Source organism: Homo sapiens, chromosome X (genome assembly GCF_000001405.40).
Source record: "Homo sapiens chromosome X, GRCh38.p14 Primary Assembly".
NCBI lineage: Eukaryota > Metazoa > Chordata > Mammalia > Primates > Hominidae > Homo > Homo sapiens.
Window position 1 is genome coordinate 17576499 of NC_000023.11, and position 26266 is coordinate 17602764.

General features: G+C 41.6%; 1 protein-coding gene and 1 long non-coding RNA gene across 3 annotated transcripts in view; both read left to right on the forward strand.

The window, feature by feature from the left end:
• The window catches only part of LOC101928389 (uncharacterized), a 58726-nt gene extending 48064 nt beyond the window's left edge, over positions 1–10662 (forward strand). The window contains exon 2 of the long non-coding RNA NR_135631.1: positions 9433–10662. This is a non-coding gene — a long non-coding RNA (uncharacterized LOC101928389). The remainder of the gene's footprint in view (positions 1–9432) is intronic.
• Positions 1–26266, forward strand: part of NHS (NHS actin remodeling regulator) — a 360795-nt gene that overhangs the window by 201299 nt on the left and 133230 nt on the right. The gene's annotated exons all lie outside the window — the stretch shown is intronic.

Here is a 26266-nt window from a genome sequence, read left to right on the forward strand (position 1 = left end):
TTTCCCTTGATTAAATAACCCTTCTCCCAAGGGCTACTTGTGTGGGTTAAATTACTTAAAAATAAAACAAACAATCCAGAGTAAGAGAATTAGTTTGAAAAACAGAAGGTTACCAACAGCCTTGCCCTGTACAGCTGGAAAAGATGTGAAACGCACAGGCTCTAAGCACCCAAGAGGATAAATAAACGTGTCGCAGGTGCCATTAAGAAAACACATCTGCACACTGTCAATGGTGAGGATAAACACACGATTGTTTTCCCTTTCATGAGAAGCAGTGATGGGGAAAGGCGACTTATGGACCCTATCCAGTTCTGTTCAATTTACAGCATCTCAAGGTTGAGGGATGGGCACTTATCCAGCCTTGATGCATTCCCAAAATCTCTCATCAGAAGCAAATCTTCAAAGAAAACAAATAGTATGTTCATTCTCCTCCCAGTGCACAGACAGGAGAACAAACAAGGAAAGAAAGAAAATGCCCTAAAGGTTATCTGGTGGACCTCAGTTGCCCGAGATTGTGATTTTAGACCCGACATCCTTCTCTGGTTTTCCTCCTTCTCCTAATCCCCCTGCCAGTAGGAAGATCAAATGGAACTGACATAAATATCCTTCCCAGCTGTTAAGTGTAGCCATTGTTTCTTCTTTTAACACTACACTACACTCCAAACTTCCAGGGTCCATCAACTTCCCTAGTGTCTTAATGAAGTAGATTATACATTTTTATGAACCATAATCAGAATTCATGAAAGATAACTAGGAGCCTAGGGAATTATGATGGATCCATTCAAATCCTCATGGACTTAATTTGAGAAAAGGTTCAAATGCACAAGAAAATAAAGGCGACTTTTGGAGATGCCAGGCACCTGGAACCTCTGTGCTTTGTATTTCTCGGGTTACTGATAGTTTGCTATAGAAGTCATGAGTTGAATCTTCTTCATTTTTATTAGATCAAATGCCTCTTATATTATGTGCCTAAATTGGAAAATGGAATATGATGAATGTCTTACACCAGGCTTAGAGTCAAACATCTATATGCCCTTAGCCACCTGAATTTTAACATTTGATCTAAAGTGGATTAAATATCCACTTTAAATTGAAATACCCACTTTAAATTGAAAACCTCAATTTTTCATACTAATAGAAGGTGGCCAAAAAAACCTGCCAACACCTCAGAAATCATTCACATTTGACTTTGGAAAGTGTTCCTGGTTTATTGGCTGACATGCTGAAAGTTGGCTCTAAAGATAATAATGAAGAAATATGGAAACTGACTCAGAGTTAGAAGCCTGTCTGTGTCTACCTCATTCTGTCTTGTCTCCCTTCCTCTACTTTCTGTACTTCATCAAACTCTTTCCATTTTCTCATCTTTAAAAAGGGATAGGAGTGTTTTGGCAGGGTGGTTAAATGAGAATGTTTCTAAGGACTCCTCCAGTACTATAGTTCTGCAGTTTAATAGAACATATATGCCCTGATATAACTTCCAGCTATTCATTCATTCATTCAACAAACTTGTTTGTGTGAGTGCCTGTTAGGTGTTACTGTGCTAGCCATGAAACTAGCACCATTCTTGTCCTAGAAATAATATAAAATATGTTTGTTAAATATGTAGTAAGCATTTCATAAATGCTCTTGAAGGGTGTACACAATAGAGGCTATAACAGCTTCTCTGAACAATCCTGTGGTTAATGATGTTCTTTAATTATGCCAACATCCAATACCTCATGTTAAAGACTTTTAGCATTTTCCAGATGTTGGAAATGATCAGAAAATTGTATATTCTCAGTAACTATGAAGAATAATCTGAGTTCTTAGTTGTGGGTGCTGAGGCCCAAGAGGTATATCCTTCATCAAGGTTACATGTGGGTAGAGGTAGATGCCTCCTGCATCCCAGCATTGGGTTAGTTAGCTAAGAAAGTAGGCTCGAGGCCCAACTGCCGGGGTTCCAATTCTGTCTCTGCCACCTATAGGTTAAGTGATCTTGAGGAAGTCATTTAACTTCTCTGTGTTTTAGTTTCCTTCTCTGTGAAGTGGGGCTGGAATAGTAACTGGCTGCATAGGGTGTATGGATTCAGTGAGTTCCTATATATCGAAATACTCAAGAGTGTAAACAGTATAGTTTCATGTGTAATAACAGCCATTAGCAACAAGAAGTAAGGCTGGACTGTTTTCTCACATATGGCAGAAATTCAATTGGTGTTATAAAATAATCAAAACTGGTAAATAGCCAGTTCTTAGATCTATCTGTCCAAGATATTTCATGAGCAGATTGTATTTCCACAAACAAAGAAAAACCTGTTTACAACTGTACCTGGCATATAGTAAGTGCTCAATAAGTGTTCGCTAGTATCTTGCGGCACTGCTCTCATCTCCTGCAGTGTTGGAGAGGGTGTTTGAAGCGCTTTATTGGAGTCAAAGGATAATGCTCCCACCCCCTGACTCTGTGCGCATGTGTGTGAGTGTGTGTGTATGTGTGTGAGTGTGTACCAGTGTACAAAAAGGTGTGTTGTAGTGGAAAATCAAGTAACTCACTCAGTAAATTATCTCAGCCAAAAGTTCAGTTGCAGGAAATCAAATTCGGATTTGTAAGCCTGGTGAAATTCAAATTCCTTTTAAACATTTATTGCCATTTCTAGGCAAGAAACATTTCCCCTGATCATATCATTCTGGCCGGGAAGTCTTGCGTTTTAAAGCAAGTAAAAAGTGAAAAAAATAATTCTCAGTACATGACACAATTTACAGTTAGCTCCTCAGGAATGTGTGTCATGTTTTAAACTTGAGTAGGTTGATGCTCTCCAAACATCCTAGTCCTTCGTATTTATAGAGTGCTTTATTTTAGTGTGTTAACAATGAATGAGAAAAAGCGGAACTTTCTGTAGGCATTTTTTCCTGATGCTATTTTGATTTGAATGCAGCCTTGCTTCTCCTGCCTTTTTCAAGCACTATAGGATTCCATTCTCTCTCTCTCTCTCCCCCTGCTCCCCCTCTCCCTCTCCTTTTTATCCCCAAAGGAAACACTTTAATTGCCTTTATTGATGAAGAGAGGAAAAATCTAAACATCAGGCAACCAGGCTAATGAGGGACAGGCGGACATGCCAACTAACAAAGAACAAAACCAATTACCCCCTCTTTACGCAGGCATAGCGGATCCAGACGGAAACAGTGAAGAACTGTAGCAGATACTATGAGTGCCCTGCCCCTATCCCCTTGGTCCAGTCGGTGGTCACCTGTAGCTCAGTGGAAATTGGCTACACACCTAGTTTCTCACCTCAAGAATTGCAGTCTCTCTGTCTGAAGGCTTTCTCTGGGCTTCAGGAAAGTATTCAACACCCACTCCACCCTGCTGCAGAGTAACTGGCAACCAAAGTTGGGTGAGGGGGATGATTTGGTGGGAGAATACCCTAGATTCCTCCCGGCCTTGGTGAGATGTGTTCTCTACTCTCCCTCAGAGGGTCCCCAGCAGGATGGAGTCCCAATTGCCCAAAGTGGCTTGTACTGGCATCCTTCCCTTCCCTGTCTCACATCCCCCCATTTCTTTCTGGCCTTCCTAGAATTACCCAAATCATGCACCTGAATCATCCTTTCAAGGTCTGCTCTTTTGGGGAACTCAAAATAAGACAAAGACCTAAAAATATTTCACCAATGATAGTCATTATCCTGCCCCTTTCCCCACTCTCTCCAAATGCCAGAAAAAAAAAAAAGAAGGGAAAAGATGGACTGTAGAGCTATCATAAAACCCTTCATTTGAGCATTCTTTAATGCCATACACTAGTTTGGGATGTACAGTTCTCTTTAGGTACTAAAAGCTAAGGTGTCTTCAGCTGCTAATTTTCATTAAGCTATTCAACAAGTATTAATTGAGCACCTACTACGTACCACACACTATCCTGGGTACTGGGATGATCTTAGTGAACAAAGCAGAGAAAGTCCCTTCCCTCTTTCTCTAGTGGGAGGGGGCAGAGAAGAAACAATAAATGTAATGAATAGATAAAGTAGATAGTATGTTAGAAATGGATAACTGCTATGAAATAAAGCAGTCTAGCCGAACACTGAGCACAGGAGCTCAGCAGTGGGAGGCGTGGGGAACTGGTTGCAGTGTTAACTAGGGTTAGCAGTAGCTTTTCTGTCTCCTGCGGAGGACAGAGTGTGGAGCTTGATGCTGTGATTTGTTGCTCCTGCAAGATAGCCACTCCCCCTTCTCATTTCCCAAGTCAGTCTCCAAGGAGAAGCTAATGCTATTAATAGTCACTAAGGACAGGAAACAAATGTCTGTCTTCTCTCCAGATGGAATTCTTTGCTCACATTGACTTCTTTACTCATAACTAGAGCTTGGCTAGCAGTATACATGAAGAAGTAAATGTTCAATGAATGAAGCATGCATGTCGGGAACTCTCTGATTGAAGTCCAGTTGAACTTTAATGGGCAACCTTGCTGTAGCCAGGACCACTGGGGCGGGGAGGGCAGTGAGGAAGTTGGAGAGTATGCCTCGTTCAAATTCCCCTGTAATTAAAAGTGAAGCTTAATCATTAGTTTCAAGGGCATGGGGTGGCTCTCGAGCACAGTGGGGAAATCTGAGTTTCACCTTCTCTTGCCTCCTGGGACCATGCAGATGTGATCTCAAGGCTGTGACTCTGGATGAGGTTACCAGGGAGACAGGAAGCAAGGGGTAACTCCAATATCCCTCTTCACAGGGTGACATCAGAATGTGAGAGGACAGGGCTCAGGTTAATTCTGGCAACATCTATTCCTCGTATTGTTCCTGGAGAGGAGTGAAAGTGTGGAGAGAGAACTGGGCCACGTCTATGACTGGGAAAGAAGGTGGAGAACTGATATTGAGGAAACAATGGAGGCTTGCACCCAAGAGTTGATGGTAGAGGGTCCCCCAGAAATGGGAAGAGAGACTGGAGGTGGGGGAGCCAAGCTAAAGAATCCAGCTGAGAAGACACAGGGGCCACTGCAGAGGGTGTTTTGGGCATTGGGACCACCAGCCATGAAGGGAACTGAAGGAAGGGAGAGAAGTCAAAGACACACAGGAGAAGTGTGTTGGAATTGGCTAATAATTCCAACAGAGTAAAATGAGGCCATCTGTAGCTGGCTAATAATTCCAACAGAGTAAAATAAGGCTGCTGCAGCTGGTTTATTCTCCACTCTGTGCTTTCTGTGGAATCGCTTGGAGGAAAGGCAGGCTGGCCTTTGGAATTAACAGGTTAATTAGGAAATTGGGATTTCCTGCTTTCTAGGGCTGCCTTTCACCTTCCCCTTCGTGGTGACTTGAAACTGATGAAGGCAAGATCTCCTGCGAACGTTTGGAATGAAACACTTTGTCAGGAAAACAAGCAAGGAAATTTGACAGCTGCTTGATGTAGGACAGTCATTAAACTTTCAAGAATGTAGGTCTTCTATTATTTAGTGACGTTAATCTCTCTTCCAAAAAAGAAACAAAAAAGATTCCAGAATTGCAGAGTGAGAAAGTTGTGCCATTGGCTCTGCTGAAAGTCACCAAGGGCCCTGCCTCCACACTCCCTTTCTTGATGGGGCTACTGAGCTGGTCCCGTCCGGCCATTGAATTAAAATCAGATAATTCAGTTGGGTTTTCGGGAGCTGTTATGGAGGCCTCAAATTTATTCAGTTTCCTCACTTACTTTCTCTTTTCTCTTCCATTACCTGCTTTTTAGCTATTTCCCTACTTTTAAAACCCAGCATTGGAGAAATGGGGCGAAGAAATAAAACTTCAATCAACCATTTGTTCTGTTGCCTGAGGGTGTTTCTGGGAGGAAGATTTGGTACAAAGGGAAGTTGAAATGCTGGCCAAAAGGAGATTTTACAAAATTCTGTAGCTTTCCTTGTTTCTTGTCACTGAAGAGGGATAACTAAGAATTGATATATTTATTTTCCAAGAAAGGCTGAAACACCATAGGGGGTAAAAGCAAGGTTGTGTAGCAGGGTTTTCTTCAACTCCATCCATACCTAGAAGTGAGAGGGGTTGTCCAGTTAGGAGGTGGATGAGGGAATGATAGGAACTGCTCCTCTGGTGGCTTTGAGAAGAGAGAGTCCTTGGCCTTTTCTTGGATATGCTAGAGCTCTTCAGACATGGAGGACAGTGCGCTCCCTGGGCCTGCTAGGATACAACCTGACTCTGCACAGAGAAGCCTTTTAGATGCATGGTGTGTTTCCCCACATTCTAGGTGGCTGCAATGGGGGCTAAGTGCTCAGGGGTGAATCCTGCCTCTGCAACCTTCCTGCAGCACGACCTAGGTCAAGTCACTTGGCCTTCGTGTGCCTCAGTTTCCTGTTCTTTAAAATAAAGATAATAAAACCCAGATTGTATAAGTGTGTGCTCACAGGCAGACATTCATACCCATACACATATGCACACAGGTATGTAAAATGGATGCCAAGTTAGGAGGGGCCATAGCCAGCTGTGAGTCTGAGTTAACTGGGTCAGGATGGTATGGGCATTGAAGCCCTGCCTTGGCTCCCACTGGGACCATATGCCAACCTACTGATTGAGTCATTGGTTTGGTCTTTCTATCATGAGTTGGAGTTTAACTGCTCTGGGAAGAATCTGGATGTTTTATAACTTTTGGGGTAGAACATTCCACCAGGCTGTTTCTACATGTCATTTGGAGTGCCACTTTCCAATGATCTTGCATAGCTAATCAACAAATATTTCTTGGCCACTGTGTACATAATTCTAGGTGCAGGAGATACAGGGGTTTGCAAGTCAGATAAGGTCCTTGAGCTCAGAGAGCTTATATCCTAGGGAAGAGAGGGAGATAATGAACTATGTCAGGTGGCGGTAAGTGCTATGGGAAGGATACTGCAAATCCATCCCATAACAAGTAATGCCTCCAACTCCATTCATTCATTTGGTATTGATGGATCCTCTGAGGATGATGTAACGAGCCTCCCAACTTCCAGGTGTTTACACAAATCAATCCTCTCTCCTTCCTCCCTAAACAAGGTATCTTGTGTTCAAGGGAATGATCTGGAGTAGTTAATCTTAAGCAAAACTAATTCAGCCTTGAAATGCCCACCAGACGTGGCCACCCAAACAAATTATTTCCGCCAAAGGAATGACACAGGTGAATTCGGAAGACCTAGATTTGGACTGGCTGTTGCGAGGAGGAATTCCCTCAGCAGATAAGCAACTCCCGAAGGAAACGAAGGAAAGTCAGTCTTCATGCCATCCCACCTTGCCTCACCCTGCCCCACTTCACGTTTAAGCCAGAGATGTCCACAAATTATTGTAGGATTTCCCTGTATACTTTCCTTTGTTAGGTTTGACTGGGGATAATATCATAGCTCTAGTGAAAGTTTTCTGCTATTTGGTGGGTTGTAAATTGAATCTTAATGAGGTTTTAGAACAATGTTCATGTAAAAATATATTTAGGCCATTTCCAAAATGGAGCTTATTAATCCAATTATGCAAATGGATGTGGCAACCAGCAGATGTCCCTGATTCTTCTTCCTCTCTCTCTGTCTCTTTTTCCTGCTCTGTTTTCTGAGAGGGTTGGGAGTTGGCATAGAGGAAGCCCTGATCGAAGTGGATAATTTGTTTGCTGAGACAGGCAGTCCTGTGTCTCTGTAAGAAGACCAGAAGCTTTCCTTATGGGGGTATGATGGGCAGTGAGGAGAGTTTGAGCTGCCGAGTTTTCTAGATTCTCTGATTTGAAAATTAGAGACTCTCAAAAGAAGTCTGTCCTTCCTGAGTAATTGCATCCTGACACTGTTGAACTTCCTCTGGGTTTCGACTTTCATACCCCTCAGAGGCTCTGAGGAGGGAGGACAAAGGAGAGGCCACCCCTTCCCTGGGGAGGGAGGGCAGGGTGGGGCACACAACCCAGCTACTCGGGTGGCTACTGCTCCTGCTTTCTGGGCAGAGAAGCTGGGTGTCTTGTTTCTCCTTTTCCTCTTGCCTGCTGCCTTGGTGGGCCTCCTATTGGTGTTTGTTCACCATCAGTGTCTCGTGGCAGCTGCCACACAAAGTTCTGTTTTTGCAAAAGGCGGTGGCATCAAAGATAAACGTTGGATTTGGCAGTAATTCATGAATTTTATTCAGCTACTCTGTTCTTGTGATATGAACAAACCTTGTTAGACCAGAGCCACTAGTGTGGAATTTGGGATGTTGATTCACCAAGGACTAGAAAATGAGTAATGCTGGGAAAGCTGGGAGAATATTTAAAATGCCTCAGAAGATGAAGCATTTTAAGCATCCCCAGTCACTTGAGGTCCCCTTTTTCAATACCTTTTCACAAACAAATAGTCTCCCTAGAAAACCTTACTGGGTGGTACTTGGTTGGCCTGGCTTCAACACTTAAAGACGAGAGCTATACTTTCTTTTAAAATATTGTTATCAATATAGGAACTTAGCTTTTTTTTTCATGTAGTCTGAATTAGGCTGACTTTATAGCTTGCAACATCCTTTTTAATTGCAGAAGTAATGCAGTTGCTTGTGGCTAAAAAAATAATAAACAGTAATGCATACAATTTTTATTTATTTTCGTGAGGATAGAGACAGGGTCTAGTTATGTTGCTCAGGCTGGTCTTGAACCCCTGGCCTCAAATGATCCTCCTGCCTGGGCCTCCCAAAGTGCAGGGATTATAGGCATGAGCCACCGTGCCTGGACTACAGTTTTTTAAAAGTGGAAAGTAGCCCGTCTCCAAACTGTTCCTTAGAGTTAATCATTATTTATTATTGCTCTAGCTGTGTGTCGTTGGACTGGTTACCTAACTTCTCTGTGCCTGTTTCCTCATCTGTAAAAGTGAGACAATATTAGCACTTACTTCATAGGGTGGTTGTGAGGATTTAGTGCAATATCTGACATTTTCTGGGCTAAACTACTATTAGCTATTGTTGTGAGTAGTATGTGCTTTTTCTGTATATCAGTGCTGAGTACATGTTTCTTAGATTCAGACCTTTAGGGGTATGGCAAACATCAATGAGCAGTGTTTTGCCAGCAGCATTTTCACCCAGGATGGGGCGATGTGAGTGAAGAAGCAGGGCCCTCTGTTTGGTTTTCTAAAGATCCATTGGGATCCAGTGTGGTTAGATTTTCTTCATGGTTGCTCTCTTCAATAAGAGAGGAGAATACCTGGAATGGGCCTTTTGCTCTGAGGAGGGGTCCCCCAGGTAAAGCTATTCCTTCCCTTGGAAGCACCTGCAGCCTTCCTACAGATGCCACCATCCAGAGGAGGCCCCACCTCCCAGGGATATCATGGGGGATTTATGACCAAAAATAATAGTAATAATAATAATAATAATAATAATAATAACTCAGACTGACTTAGAACAAAAATCACATTCTAGATGAGCTGATGGAAGATCGATTGAGGTTTTAGGGTTTTTTTTATGAAGTGAAAAAAAGAACTGTTTATTTTGCCAATTTCATTATAAAAAAATAATAAGAGTGTGTCTCTGTGGTTGTTTGTACACAGAAAGCAGAAGAAATGAGAAGAACCTCGAAGTCATCTGGCAAAAGGCGGGACCAGACTGGAGATGCTTTTTTTTCTCTTTTCAAAACCAGGAGTGTATTTGTTATCACACAATTTAATTCAAAAAGTCCAGTGGTAGAGTCAGAGCACCCATCTCCTTGTCTTGGTTCTGCCACCAACCAGCTCTGGGGCCTGGGACAAGTTACTTAACCTCTCTGTGCCCCCTCTTATCTATTTAAGAATATGGGTCTGGAAGTTCTTGTCTTACAGAACCATGTTGGTGGTCTGAGAGCAGTGACAATGAGGTGCTGTGGGTTGGGTGAGTGTGGGAGTGTCTGTCCTTTGTATACTGCAGACTCTCTTCTCTGGATGTGCCAACTGAGAATGGCTACAAGAACATCAGAAAACAAGCCACCGCCCTAAAGGTACTTAGATCCAAAGAAAACCCAAAGCACACATGTAAAAGCTGCTCAAACACATACAAAGGAAAGCATACAATTATAGTCACCACAGAGCATTTAATAATAATAAGATGCCTGAGAGAAAATGTAGCTGGGAACCCACATGGGATTGACAGAAGGACAGGACACTTTGTCACTTGCTTTTTCAATAAACAGATCAGATTCTCCTTTTTAACCACATGCTCCTTGGCCACCTTCTGTGAGCAAACACAGGATTTATCGAAGATCTGAGAATGTTGCTAATGTTGCTTGACCCCTGGTAGGACTAGAATCCATGACTTCCTTAGCCCAGCCCTCTAATCAACCCTGCCCATCCACCAGGTCTTGGGAAGCTGGGCAGAGATGCCATAAGCAAAGGACTGCTGGCTGAAGCACCATGGGAAGCATGGATGCTCCTTCTCTGTGGCCAAAATGGCAGAGCAGCCCTGAAAAAACTTTCTTGGCTGTGCTGTAGGCTTTACACAGGCTTGTTATTATTTTTTGAACCCTCTGAGATTGACAGGGCAGGAAATGGTATCACGATTTTCTCTTAACTTCTAAAGTGACTTGCTATAGTCACCTAGGTTTTTCATGAATTATAGAAGAGAAGAGGCCTAAAAACTGAATTTCCCAATACCTGGGACAATGCTGATTTAGTAAGTTGGGGTTTCTAGGAGAAGATAGAAATACATTGACATATATTAATCCATTGATTAATTAATTTATGAGGCAACTGCCATCTACATTAAAGAATACACATTTTTTTCACTTAATAAAAATGAGATCTCTCTCATGCACTTCTTAAGCTTCTTCCAAAAACAAACTACCAAACTGGTAACTGTCCAATTAGTTGGAATAAATTGAACAGGCGCCCTCAGTTAATTGTCAAACTGAGTAGTCTAAAAACCACGTAACACCACCAAGCACAGAGTGTTCCTTCCCTTCCTCACCAGGTCTGCTGCTCTGGGAACAGGGTTGAGAACCCCTTCCAGTTTCAGTCCAGCGAAGATGCGTTCTTTGGCCATGAACTAGAAGCCAGTCCTCCATGCAGTGCCTTTCGGGCTGAAGCCAGTTGTCCACTAAATCTGCTTGGGAACTGATTTGTTAATTATTCTTTTCCTTTTGTGACATTTTTCAAGATAAACTTACTTGGGCCAGCCTCCTAGAAAACCTTTTAAAATGCTAATTACGCAATTGTGCGAATAATGTAAAAATGAGTCCTGTGGTGCACTCAGCACTTGACTAATTAACAAGCAGTAAATGAATCCTAGCCTAGGAAATTCTGTACAGGGCTGTGTGAACGGCAGAGAGCTTCCTGGAGCCACAGTTGGAAGAGTGGTTTTAAGCAAATAGGTTCTTAGAGAAATTGACCAGTGAAAATCAAGAATTATTTGGTCATAGCATAATCTTTTACCAAAATTGAATATCATTGGTGGATTTGATTCAGCAAATGTTTGTTGAAGCCTTGTAAGGCTCTATAATAGACCTAGGGAACAAGGATACAAAGATGAATTAGATATGAAGGATGTCCTGAAAGCTAATGATCTTGTGAAAGACAGAGGCGAGTAATCAGAGACTACAGCGGGATGGCTTTTAACTTCAAGGACAGAATACCATAGTAATGGTGGCTCCAATGATAAAGATTGTCTTACAAAATATAATGCCTGAATGTAGATGGTTCTAGGGTTGTCTCTTCCCATTCTTTTGCTTGGTCATTCTCAGCATGTTGGCTTTGTGTTCTTAGGCTTGTCTTGTGATTGCAACATGGTTGCCTTGTTCTAAGCATCATATTCCAAAATAACACGGTTCAAAAGCAGTAAGCAAGTCAGGGTCTGGGGAGGGGTGCAGTATGGTAGGAGATCTATGCTCCCACATAGCATTCACAAAAATAAGTCACATGGCCACTCCTAGATGCCAGGGTTGGGGAGAGGGTGCCTGGAAATCCAGTCTGGCTCTGCAGCTACTTTCCATCAGCAGCTCAAGACTATGGAAGGGATTAAAAAATTTTGTTGGCCAGTTGGACATCTCTGCTACATAATACAGTAAGCGCTGTAGTACAGATGCATACAGAAGACAGAGACAGTCAATTCTGCCTTAAAAATAATGGGAGGTTTTGTAGAGGACCTGACAGCTTAGCTGAGTCATCAGGTGGATGACAGAGAGAAATGTGCAAAGCATAGACTCACGAAAGAGCTTATCAAGTTATTGTGCTGTTTGTGGGGGATTTTTTTTTTTTGCCCTTTTTCCCCATTTTTTGGTCAAACCTCACGACCTAGCAAGTCATTTAACTCATCAGGGTTTCAGGATCTTCATCTGTGAAAGTGAGGCAGTTGGACTCTGTAAACATAAAATGATCTCCATTGTTCTTTCATCCCTTTTTTGTTTAAACCTTCAGAGTAGAAGTTACATAGATATTAACAGTCTCAACATTTCTTGTACAGATATAGCAGGGTTCTTTAATCTTATCTCCTCTATAAAAATACATTTCAAAAATTTCTCAGGGAGGCAATGTGGTATTGTAGGCAGAGCATGAGATTGGGAATCACGGATCTGCATTTGAAGCCAAACTTTGTCATTTTCTTGCTGTGTGACCTTGAGAAGACACAACATCTTTAAGTCTCAGTTTCCTCACCTGCAAAATTGAGATTATAGTACCTGTCTTCCAGGTTTCTTGGAAGATTTAGTGATAATTGTTTTTCAACACATAGCACAGTGTTAGATACTTACTAGGTTCTCAATAATTCACAAAAGAAGAAATACAAATGGCCAATACATGAAGTTTTATTTTTATTTTTTAATTTTTTATTTCCATAGGTTTTTGGGGAACAGGTGGCATTTGGTTACACAAGTAAGTTCTTTAGTGGTGATTTGTGAGATTTTGGTACACCCATCACCTGAGCAGTATATACTGAACCCAATTTGAAGTCCTTTATCCCTCCCCACCTTCCCACTCTTTTTACTCCTGAGTCCCCAAAATCCATTGTGTCATTCTTATGCCTTTGCATCCTCATAGCTTAGCTCCCACTTATAAGTAAGAACATACGATGTTTGGTTTTCCATTCCTGAGTTACATCACTTAGAATAATAGTCTCCAATCTCATCCAGGTAGCTGCGAATGCCATCATTTTGTTCCTTTTTATGGCTGAGTAGCATTCCATGGTATTCCATGGTATGTATGTGTGTATGTGGGTAACATTTTCTTTCTCCACTCGTTGACTGATGGACATTTGGGTTGGTTCCCTATTTTTGCAATTGCGAATTGTGCTGCTATAAACATGCGTGAGTGAGTATCTTTTTCATATGACTTATTTTCTTCTGGGTACATACCCAGTAGTGGGATTGCTGTATCAAATGGTAGATCTACTTTTAGTTCTTTAAGGAATCTCCACACTGTTTTCCATAGTGGTTATACTAGTTTACATTCCCACCAGCAGTGTAGAAGTGTTCTGTTTTCACTGCATCCATGCCAATGTCTATTATTTTTTATATTTTTTTGATTATGCCCATTCTTGCAGGAGTAAGATGGTATTGGATTGTGGTTTTGATTTGCATTTCCCTGATCATCAGTGATGTTGAGCATTTTTTTCATGTGTTTGTTGGTCATTTGTATATCTTCTTTTGAGAATTGTCTATTCATGTCCTTGTTTGAGAGCAATACATGAAGTTTTAAATGTTCAATGAGAAATAACTCTCTGTGTGTGTGCAAGTGTGTATGTATCAAATGGGCAAACATTTTTTAAATTGGTGATCCCCAGCATGGGTGAGGGTGTGATGAGACAGAGATTCTCATATATTCCTAATGGGAATATGAAATGATACATTTCTGGGGGACTGTGTGGCAGTTGGAATCTGTCTTTTGAAAATGTTCGAACCCTTTGATCTGGTAATTCAAAATCTAAAAGCTTATGCTAGGTGGACCATCTATGATGATATGATAGGATACGATTAGTATAAAGTTGTTCATCTTGGTGCTATCTGGAATAAATAACATTGGATTCATCACAAATGATCAACAACAGACAATTTATTAAATGAATTAAGCTCCATTCATGGTTTTTAGTATTACCCAGATATTAAAAATCATGTTTTGGGAAGATATTTAATGATATGGAGGAAATGGTTGTTATATAAAATTATTTAAAAAGGGCAGTCTATAAAACAGTATATATAGTATAGTCCCAGTTTTATAAAAACAAACACCATAAATGGAAAAATGACTGGCAGTAAAATGCCAAAATGTGAAAATGATTATCTCTGGGTACTGAAAAAACAAGGGTTTTTTATTTTCTTCTGTGCCTCTGAATTCTCCAAGCTGTCTTGCATTGTGCATGTAATGATGTGGAAAACACTTATAAAATTAAGAGAAAATATCATATCAGGTTAGAAAAATTACCAAAAATGTCAGAATACAAATGGACTCCAACTATGTAAGAATACACACACATCCCCCCCAACACACACATACAAAGAAAAACCAAGAAGATGAAAGGAACTATGTCCAAATCTTAGTAATTTTCTCTGAGATGGTGGAATGATGGATTATCATCATTTTCTTCTTTATACTAGTTTATATTTTTCCACTTGAATAGAAAAAGAAAATCGCCACCAAATAAAACCTATAAAAAGAAGTTTTCTTGAGTACTGTGTTCCATATAGTCACTGGCTCTGGTAGCCATAAGCAACACATAAATCTGAAGGCCAGGACTTCTTTTACCCCACAGCTGGGGAATCATTTGTCCTATGTGGAACCTGGTACCCATGTTAATCCTCTGCCTCCTGAATACATCAAGTCCCACATTGTAAAAGGCAAAAGGACAAGGCCAGAGTTACTGTTGATGGAGAAAATGAGTGGATTTTGCTGGTGTAAGAGATAGCAATAGAATCTGTGCTCTAGGTCGTAGGGAGGGCACCCTGCATTTTGCAAACTTGTGCTTGCTGATCCAATAGGCACCCCTGGTTGGATGCAGGGAGCTCTCTGGTGGCCAAAGGGTGTCAACGCAGCAATTTTTGCACTTCCACAACCAAACCCAAGATCTACTAGCCGAGATCAGAAGCCGATGCATACTTGCAGATTACATTTTAAGCCCTTATAATGGGTAGGAAAACATCTGTCTCTATTATTTCCATGGTATTTGGTATGAAGACAGAATCCTCCACCCTGCCCTTAAAATTTCACATAGAATAGGTATGCTTTCTGCCTTCGTGCCCAGGTCAAACTCACTTGACACTGCGTAGTTTTAAACTGTGTAATAAATTGCCCGAGGTGCACCAACTAATGTGTGACCCCGGATCACACTGCTTGCCCCACAAATCCATACTGTGTGAAATTGACCTTGCTGGTTGTTTTTCAAGTGGGTCTTTATAGCATCATAGAATGGAAGGAGTCTTAAAAACAAAAAGACTGAGACAGAGCTTGCTGAAAGAAATGACTCATTACTGGCTGAACCGGGAATGGAATATATTTCCAATCTTGAGAATATTGTCCAGCAGGCTCCCTCATTTCCCTCCGGCTGCCTTTATCTGAGGTGGCCAACTTGAAACCAAAACTAAAGCTTCTGACTCTCGTGGTTCCTGGATAGTCTTGTGTTTCTGTGTGTTTGCATCATACTGCGACTGTGCATCTGAGATGGAGTGGTCCACTGATGTGTGTGTGTGTGTGTGTGTGTGTGTACATGTGCATGCAAATACACATATGTATAATAGTGTGCAGTCACTGTAATAATCACTGTATACCTGTCTATCTCTGTCATTTTATTTAGGCATAGTCCATAGACTCAACCATATTATACATTCCTTGGAGATGATCTTCTGTGTCTTTTGTACTTCAGTATAATACTATCCAGAGGTGTTGGAGCCATTAGCACAATTTAGGCTACTTTCTTTGTAAGCCATGATTGAAAACAATGTCTGACTCATTTGGGTCCTTAGACTCAGGACTTTGTTTGTAGAATATTGTTCTATATTTAGCTTTTGTGTCAGCCCTAGGTTTTAAAGAGGCCTGAAGATTAGTGGAAACTTACCCCCTGGGTATTCTAGAATGTTCCATTGAGAGGTAATTAAGGGGAAGAAAAGGAACAACTTGTGCTCCCCAATTGGCAAGCCAGCGACTTGGTTATATATTTCTGTTTGCTGGAGCAAAAGAGCTTTGAATTCTATCCCATTTTAACATCGTCTCAACAATCACCAAGGTAGTTTAATAATGGCACCTTCGAACTTTGCCTGGCAAATGGAAATCTGAGGATAAGCCCTGAAATGTTCTCTATAGTCCATTTGAATGTTCTATCAAATTTATTCATTTTGACAATGACTTTTTAAAAAAAGAGAAATGTGCCAGGAAATGATAATTTTAAGTGGACCTTAGGAATGTTATAATAAAGCCCAGTGCTAGGACAAAGCAAGGACCAGCTTGGTGGAGGGTTTTGGAGGCAGACCAATGGGGTTTGATTTTTGACACTGCCAAGCTGGGAAGGAAGAAGTGCAGGGGGTATAGACAGGGCAGATGGGCCCTAGATGGTTGTTACATGTGTGTGATGGGTATGTGGAATTTCATGGTAAAGTTCTATCTACTTTGGGGTATGTTAAAAATTCATCATTCACCATAATAAAAACCTGAACATTTTTCCAAAAAAAATTTTTAAAAGAAGAAGGAAACAAGCTTGGCCAAGGACATTCAACAAGTAAGTGGCAGAGAAAAGCAGCAGCATGTAATGTAAGAGCATACTTATTGAAACATCATGGCACAAAATTAAAATGAGCACAGGCTTTGAAGTAGGATATGAGTTCAAGTTATGACTCTTACTCCATTTGTAAACCTTAAGTCACTTAACCTCTCTGATGTCAACAGTCCCCTCCGCTATAAAATGAGGATACAACACTCACCTCCCAGAGTTGCTGCCACCATGAGAAATTAACATATATGTCAAGCACCTAGAACCCTATTTGGCCTTGATAAGCATTCCTGCTTTTATTATTAATATAGTAAGCAGATTAAGAATCCCAGTGGATTCCAGTGGGCCCACTGGGAAGGAACATATTTTGGAGTCACCATTCCTTTGGTCTTCAGGAAAACAGGAGCTCTTCAGGCACATGGGGAAGACCAGCCAAGAAGTCCCAATTTCTTAGAACTTGGTAGTTTGGGGGTCTCTTTCAGGCTGCAGCAACTTAATGGGGATGATTTCCCATCAAATCTCAAGGGATACCTAGTTGTTTTGATAGGAGAATGCAAGAATCCTTCACACAGGAAGGACTTCAAGAATAAACGACTTATCAGTGTGGAACTGAGCCCCTGATCTCCTGTTTCCACCTCCATCCAGGTACCCCTGGATTCCCAAAGGTAGAGGTATGCAGCTATTGTCAGCAATGAGCTGTAAACTTCTTACATGTCTATGTCTATGTCTGTTTTACTTCTGTATCCACAATACCTGGCTCACAAGGGATACTAAGGTTTCGAGGGGTTTTTTGATGAATGGATGAGTAGATGGACAGATGGATGGGAAAGTAGGTGGATGGATGGATGGATGGAGGAAACTGACCTGAAGCGGGATGCCTGTGTGTCTGTGTGTGCTAAGAGTAGAGTTTTCTTTTTCAGTTTCTTTTTCATACCTGTTTGTCCTTTTTTGAAGTCTCCACTAAGGAGAAGCACCTACTATATACCAGATAGTCTACCACTGAGTACCTATTGTGTACCAGGTAGGATACAATGAACATCTAGTTTTTATATTATTTAATCTTCCCAACAACTCTGTGAGGTAGGTCTTATTAACACCACTTTACAGATGAAGAAATCTATGTTCAGAAAAGTTGAATAACTGGCCCGTGTTTACCCACTTTATATAATAAGTCCATGCTCTTTCTGGTACACCATGCAATGTAAGCATTCCTATAGCAAAAGCAAAACAAAACCAAAACCAAAACCAAAAACAAAAAACACGCCAGTGTAGAAGTGAGGAAGGGGGTCACTAACTCAAAGGCAGAAGAAAGTCCAATGGAAGAAAGGGAGTCTTTGCTTGGATATCTATGAGAGGGTGGGTGGCAGGTGAGGGAGGGCATGGATCAGTAAAGGGAAGATAGAGGTACCTGGCAGTCTTACACGCCAAGGCTTCTCCTCCAAGTGGAATTCAGTCATTGGTTGGAAGGAGTAAGGTGGGTTACTCTGTCTCCGTTCTGCCTGGGGTACCCCTGGGATCAGGCTATTCCACCTGTCCAGGCAATCTCTGTCAACAAATTCTAAGGCAATTCGGAGGCAGTGGGGGAGACTGAAGGTCTTGCCTGTCCTATTGTCTTTGTTTAGGTTCAGAAAAAGAAGCAAACAGAACAGGAGAAGACACTGAGACATTGATTCTTGTGCACGCCCTTCATTGAGAGCGTCCTCTCAGAAGGGGCATAAGGGAAGCAGGCTGTGACTGGGGAAAAGTTCTAAGCAAGTTTGTGGCCTTAGCTAAAGACTAGCTACAGTGCAATCTCACTGCAGCAGGAATTGCACCACAGAGTTGATCCCACCTTGAAGTAGGGCACTGGCCTTTTGTACCATGCTATCAGCCAGTCATTAGCTATGGGCTGCCTCTGGGAGAGGAGGAATCACCTTCTGAGCTAGATGATTCCCATTGGCCAAGGGCAATTCTCCAGAGAAGTGAGTTGCTTTTAGCAGCCAACACTCATAGCTGGTGGGGAGGAGGATTCCACCAGAGTTAAGGGGATCTGGGTGGATATCAACAGCAGCCACTACACCCACCAAGCTGCTATATATGTTCCTGCTGACATGGAATATATGTAGAAGTTCTGTAGGGATTTTGGCTCTTCTCATTCAGATGCAGGCTGCCTTGCTGGGTGCAGATAGCTCACCTGCAAGCTCATTCTTTGATCCTGAAGAGTGGGTACCAAGCAAGGATCCTTTCCATGAGACTGATGGTATAGACACTTTCCCTACCCATTCTTTGTGAGCCATCTGCTGCTGAAGTCCTCCTCTGTCTCAGCTGAGATTTAATGTGGCAACATCTGCCCTAGGGTTTTGACTTTAATGGCATTTATCATGCACACTTCCCTTTGATGTAGGACAGCCAACCTCATGACATCTTCTGTCTTCTATCTCCAGGTTTTATTTCTCCTCTTAGTTTAGATGTCCCTCATATTCTCTCTAAACTCCTGTCCAACCCTTCCCTCTCAAATCTTGTTAATACTTAACCTGGGGTCAAGGTTTCTTTGGGCGCAGAACAATGAAAAGGCAATTAGCTAGCTGGCTTTGAGTGCTAAGGGAGTGAAAACTGGTTATGACTCTAACTTGAGACATTCCTAAGAGTAGGCCTTTCCTGTATGGTCAAGACTGAAAGAAATAAACGGATGTGGGCTTTTTTCTTGCCTTTAGACTTTATGGATTAGTCATAGGATCTTGTTGAAATTATTCAGTCCAGAAATAAGTGATTAACATTTAACTTCTTTAATGGGCAATTACTCAACAGCTATGCCAGTGGGTAAATATTTACTTATCATCTATTCCAAGGAGTGAATGTTAACTTGAGTCAAACAGTTACTTGTGTTGGTTCTTTAATAGCGGAAAAGTGAATTTATATGGCTCTAGGAGTTCCAATTTCCCACCAAATAAGAACTTACTGAAGGATGTTCAGAGCCCTGGGCTGGAGTTAAATTACAGACAATTTGCTTACCTACTCCCTCCCTCCAAAAAAAAAAAGATGAAGATTTTTTGTACTCACCACTATTTATTGAAATCTGGTAGCTTCAAATCTCACAAAGCCAAACAAATTCACTCAGTTTTTCAGTCTGTAGGTCTGTGACAGCCTCTGTTTACCACAAAACTGCCTGTATCTTGTCACTATGGATGCAAGTCAAGACAGAGGCAAAGTCTGGATGATGAATGGCTTGTTCTTAGTAATGTGCTTGTAATTGTTCTTCCTTAGAATGGGAAGGATGGCTTGGGAGGACCTGTCTATCATAGAGGGACTTGGCAGCTTCCAATCTCTTTGCTTGCTTGTCTACAATGCAGCCAATGGGACTAATTCAAATATCCCAGACATGCCCAGATGGATACACAGAGCATATGGCTTGAAGACTCAGTTATGGAAATAACAGGCACCATTTCTGAGACTTTCAATTCACTTCCAACAAATATATTTTAATCAACAGGCAGGAAACCAAATTAAAAGTTGAAGCATGAACCAAGGTCAAAGGTTAAGGGTTAGGATGTGGGATTTTGGTGTTCATGCTCCAGGTTTGGCCTACCATGCAGAGAGGTCAAAGATGACTGCACAGGGAACCATTGGGAGAGAGGAATGTGGTATTCCAGTTTGTAGAAAGTTTGAGAGTCTGGAATTTGGTATATTAGTCAGTGCCAGCCACTCCAAGTCTCAGGGGCTTCACACAAAGTTTATTTCTTGTTCATGTCACATTCCAGGCATGGGAGTGGGGAAGTGAGGGATCAGGACCTGTGTTCCACGCAGGCATTCAGACTCCCAGGCTCCTTCCATTTTATGACTTCCCTGTGCCCTAAGGCCTCCAAGTCCACCTCAGCTACTGCATCCAGACTGCAGATGAGGCAAAGAGAAAGTGTGGAGGATAGCGTGGAGGTTTTATGGGCCCACCTATATTCTGGCCAGAACTGTCACGTGGCCCCACTAACATGCAAGGGAGGCTGGGAAATAGAGTCATCTGTGTGCCCAAGGTGTAAAGGGAAATGTTTTGGTGTAAAACTAGCCAGTGTGTCATACACGGCTTCAGGAACTTAAGACTATTCTTCCGTTTTTTTTTTTTTTTTTTTTTGATACGGAGTCTTGCTCTGTCACCCAGGCTGGAATGCAATGGCGCGATCTCGGCTCAGTGCAAGCTCCGCCTCCCGGGTTCACGCCATTCTCCTGCCTCAGCCTCCCAAATAGCTGGGACTACAGGCGCCCGCTACCATGCCTGGCTAATTTTATTTTTTTGTATTTTTCGTAGAGACGGGGTTTCACTGTGTTAGCCAGGATGATCTCGATCTCCTGACCTCGTGATCCGCCCACCTCGGCCTCCCAAAGTGCTGGGATTACAAGCGTGAGCCACCGCGCCTGGCTATTCTCTTTTTTTTTTTTTTTTAAGAAAAAACAAAAAACTGGCAGGGGTAGGGACAAGGGATACACTCTTCCTCAGTGAGCATTTGGAAGAGAGCTGGAGAAAGAGCAAAAGAAGAGAGCAGGCTAGAAATGACTTAAAAATTAGTGGGATATTCCTGGAGAGTTGCCAAGCTAGAGGAGATTCACTTCCACTCATAATGGGAGATAAAAATTGTTCTCATTTGGGTTTATTTTTTTTCCAGGCACAGGCTTTAGAGGGTGAGTTAAACTTCCTAAAGCAAAGGATTAGATAAGAGGGAACTCAGCTTTGATTGAAGAGCCAGCTGTGTCAGAAAGTAACAGGGAGAGGAAGAGTGGGTCGAGCCACACCGCGGGTACCTGATTGTGGTGGACTCTGGAGGTTGCCTGTAAAAGGAGACACTCCTCAGGCTCCTCATTCACTAGGGATGTTCAGTGAAGAACAAACCCAAGCGAGAGAGGGTGCCCAGAATGATCGCAGGCTCATTTCTAGGAGGGTAGGACACTCCTGCTTGATTCTCTCTCTTCTCTTTCTTTTCTTTTCCTGTCTATGAATGCAGCCCTGTCTTAGTCAGCTCTTTTTGGAGGAGACCTGTGATGGAAGGGAAGGTTCTGACTGGGAGCTAGAGGAAAGGCCAGGGTTCAGGGCCTGCCCTACCCAGCAGGTAGACTCAGGGGGCTGTGTCCTGGCATGGGTCCTGACTGGATGGCACTCTCCCTCCCCAGCAATTCCAACAGGCCTTCTTGGGCGGACTCTTTTGTGGCAGTTCCTGGCAGTCCCAGATGTGGCTCGTTGTCAAGCCTCTGGACCAATGCCCGGAGCCTGTTGGGAGTCCAGACTCCAAGTCAAGAAGAACAGAATTAACTGGCCAGGCGCCAAGATAATATTTTTCCCTCATAAGCAAGAATGCTGCCTAGGAAATAAGTTTAACTCCTTTCTTATTTCCTTAACTCTTCTTTAGTCTCCTTTAAAGTAGTTAGTGATCATCAAAAGACATTTTTAAGTGTGCCCCCACAAAGAAAACTTTTATTTAAAAAACACTTATATGATGCCTACCCTGTGCCTTACACTAGCGTTGTACAAATATTAACCTATTAGATTGTCACAACAACCCACAACAAAGGTACTATCATTATCCTCACTTCACAGATAAGGGCATACAGGTGAAAAAGGCTTCATGGCTTCCCTAGGGTCATGCAGCTTACAGGTGGTAAACCTGGGATTTGAACCAAGGCAATCTAGTTTAGAGTCTATATTCACTGTATTGACCCTTTCTATATTCACTATATTGACCTTTCTTTCCCCAAAGAAAACGTGGATTGCTTTCATAAAATGGTATACATATAGAAAAATGCACAAATCCTAAGTGTACACTTCCTTGAATTTTCACAAACTGAACACACCTAAGTACCTACTCTCCTCACAAAAAAACCCCAAAGATCACTGGCCCCAGAAGAGCCCCTTCATTTCACTCCCCACCCCAAGGATAACCCGTATACTGATTTTTCCTTCATTGATTAGTTTGAACTGTTTTTTGAACTTGTATAAGTGGAATAATACAGCCTACTTTCTCTTGTGTCTGATTTCTTTCCCTCTGCATCACCCTGGTTGTTGAGTATAGTTCAAATTTCCTTCTTTTTGTTGCTTTGTAGTATTTCATTTTCTGAACATATCACAAGTGATTTATGAATTCCATTATTGATGGGCATTTTGCTAATATCCAGTTTGGGACTTTACAGAGAATGCTGCTATATACACATCTTTTGGTGAACACATGGATATAGTTCCATTGAGTATATACCCAGAAGCACACAGCCATAGGGTAAACAAATATTCTGCTTTCACAGGCACTGCCAAGCAGTTTTCCAGAGTGGGGGCACCAATTCACAATCCCACCAGCAGTGTGCAAGAGTTCCAGTTTTGCTAACATTTGGAATCTTCTGTCTTTTAATTTATAACCATTCTGGTGGGTGGCAGAATTTTTTTTTTGCTTTCTTCTGTTTTAAGAAAAATAGACTTTATTTTTTACCACAGATTTAGATTTACAGAAAAATTGAGATGATAGTAAAGACAGCTCCCATATATCTCCCACCCTATTAACATCTTACATTAGTATGGTACATTTCTTAACAACTCATGAACCAGTACTAATATATTATATACTGATATATTATATATACTAATATATTATCATTCACATAATTATTTTTAAATTGCAAACACATCCAAAAAATGAATAACAATGTTAATGTCTTTTATATAAAATGAGGACCATTAGATAACAGTTTGCCAGTTACATTATTTAACGGGATGGGTTGATGACTCTAGTACCGTTCTTTGCTGGATAAAGTCAAAACCACCAGTTGATGCAGGGAAGTTGTTACCTAGCATAAACCTTTATGATGATCATTCTGTATCAGTGGGGCTCCTATTTAAATGTCCATTCTTGTGCCCCTCCCCACACTAAGAATCAAAACCTCTGGAGATGCAGACCAAGAATGTGCCTTTTGATCAAGAAATTTCAGGTGGTTCTAATACATCCTAAAGCCTGATAACCTATGTTTTAGACATAGGAAAGCAAGCCCAATAAATGCCTGTAATATTTTAAGTCTAGGGGGCATATCATTTTCTGGGCTGGGCAGCTAGTACTAAGACACTAATTTAGTTCTGATTTTAATAATGTAAAGGTATATGGATAAAAAGGCCGCCTGTCAATACCAGAGTTCTAAGGAGGATGACTCTTGAGTTAGGTTTCCCAAGACCTTGAATAAAAAAGTTTGCGCTGGAAAAGTTAAATGATGCTGCCAACCCCAGGGGGCAAGGCAGCTGAGACAGAGAGAGACAGAGAGAGAGAGAGAGAGAGAGAGAGAGTGAGTTGGGGATTGTGGCTCTTTGGCATCTCAAAAGGAGCTTGAATGTCAGACAGGGTGTGGAGGACAGCAAGAAGAGATCAGTGTGTAAAATATTCCAATGGAAAATTCCAAAAAAGCGTCAGCCACAGCTAAATGGGACAAGAAACAATATACGTTAATTTAAGACGACGCCGTCAATTTAGTGGCATGTTTATTGAAATAGCCCTTTGCATTCTAAAAACAGCACTAGGGTATGGACCTCTGAATCCTTGCAGGAAACTGTACAAATTCCTAGGAGGGAACAGCAGCCCCAAATCTGACTTTAATAACAAAAGGCAATTATTTTTAGTATTTTCCAGTAGATCTCAGCTGTCTGGTATTGTCAGGCTCTATTCATGGAGAGGTGGAATTTGGAGAGAGTTAGTTCAGTGAATGGTGAGTGGGGGAGGGAGGAAAGGAAGGAGGAAAATAAGGCAGGGAAAAAACACAGAAAGGTTGGGTGGGGGAGCGAGAAGGAAGGAGAGAAGGAGAGAGAAAGGAGAGAATGAGAATATGAGTGGGAGCTTGTGAGCTTTTCCACTCTGGTACTATTATCTGGCATGATGGCCCTCAAGGCAAGGTGCCAGTCATATAATAATAAATGCCAAGATCAAACCTCTAGGAACAAATATAAAGGGACTCTAAAACAAGCAATTTGTCAGACTGGTTTCAGGGTACGGAGAAACATAAAGAACTTGGGAGAAAGTAAGTCACCGATAAATTCTCATGGAAACAACAGGAAAGCCATTATAGGTGCTAGCATTGTAACTAATTAAGAAGTGGTAAAACCATAGAGGGGGTGGCATTGGAGGGGATGGTGGCAATAGGTTATGAAGGAGAGGAAGGGTATGGAATTAATTTTTTAAAAGCTGCTTGGAAAACCCAAACTTGTAGATTCAGCAGGTTTGATGGATGAATACCTAGGTGAGGAAGAGAAATGGACATTGTGTTTCTTGCCAATTGTGTTTTGCGAAATCATGGAGAAGCAGGAAGGTTGTCAAGTGGAGAGATGACTCTGTAGAGCATTTGTCATTTATAGGAGGTAAAGCACAATCTTGTCAATAACAGGCCAGAAAAAGAACATTATTTTGTTCTCAAAGTAAGGAATAAACATGGAGGAAAATACTAAAAGATTCTAGGTGTGGTGGAACTGTTTATGATGGGCAGTTTCCACATCTTAAATCAAGACAAATGGATTTGATGATGGAAAGGAGCCATCATCCTTAAAAACTTATGTAACTGTTGGACAAGGAAGAAGAACATTATGTCTAGAGCTTTAAAAGATGTTTCTATGGTGTCCTAGGAAATCTTGTGTGGAAATTCATCCAGATTGGCTTGGATACTAGCAGTCTCATGTAGATTTTTCAAGTGGCTTAAGGAGCACAGTCCGCAAACGATAATTCATAGAAACATTTCAGCCTGGGAGGAATATAACGACTTAGTTTTTAAAGGTTTGCTGTTCACTGGTGCTTCATTCGATCCCACCCTCGATACTCTGGGAAACACTGTGAGAGATACTAGCCTCTTTTACATAAAAGGACATATAAACTCAGAGGCATTAAGTCACTGTCTAAAGTCACAAAGCTTATTTAGAAGCTCAGATCAAGTTCCCAACTATTGTTATTTAACCTTGAGAGTCACTTTTCAACACGTTCTCTTACAAACTTGGCTTTAACATATAAATGTGAGGTGTCAGTGCATGCCAGGAAGATAAGAGGATTGCAACCAAAGTCCTCCTGTGGAGAGCTGTTGATTAAAACAGCAAACAATTCCTCCTTCTAAATAATGCAAGCTAGGATTCCTAAGGAATAGGATTGGTGAGATCAGGCATAAGAACTGATCACACACACAACAACAACAACAACAAACAAACAAACAAACAAAAAAACAGAGAACCAAACCTATGTGGCTCTCAAGGCATTCCTTGGTGAACTAGGTGATAATCTGAGAAATCATTTTAGAATCTTCCCAGGAAAGCATACTGAGTGCTTAGAACTGGTAAGGCAGGGAAGAGATGAAGAATCACCCCTTCCATCCACATGGCCTCTGGTCTTTGGTAATAACTGACAATGTTTCCTACTGTGCCTCAGAAATTGGGTGGGGCAGGCTTTCAAGGATGAAAAGGGGAGATTGCTCAACTGGAGAGGGCCCACTATACTCTAAGAAAGGAGTGAGTCTCTGGAAGGTGCCAATGGGACACTGCTAGAGAAAGGTAGTGTATTTGCTGCAAATGGAGAGGAGATAAATATCCTAGTGAGATACCTATGACCTTGCATGGAAAACAGTATGGAGTAGCCTAGCATGGATGCTGCAAGTGGCTTGCTGCTTTACTAAGCAAGTTAACTTTGACTTTTTTTTTTTCTCTGAGAACTGAGAACAGTATTTAGGGAAAGAGAAAGGTTCAAAGACAGAAGGCAATGTTTATGGTTC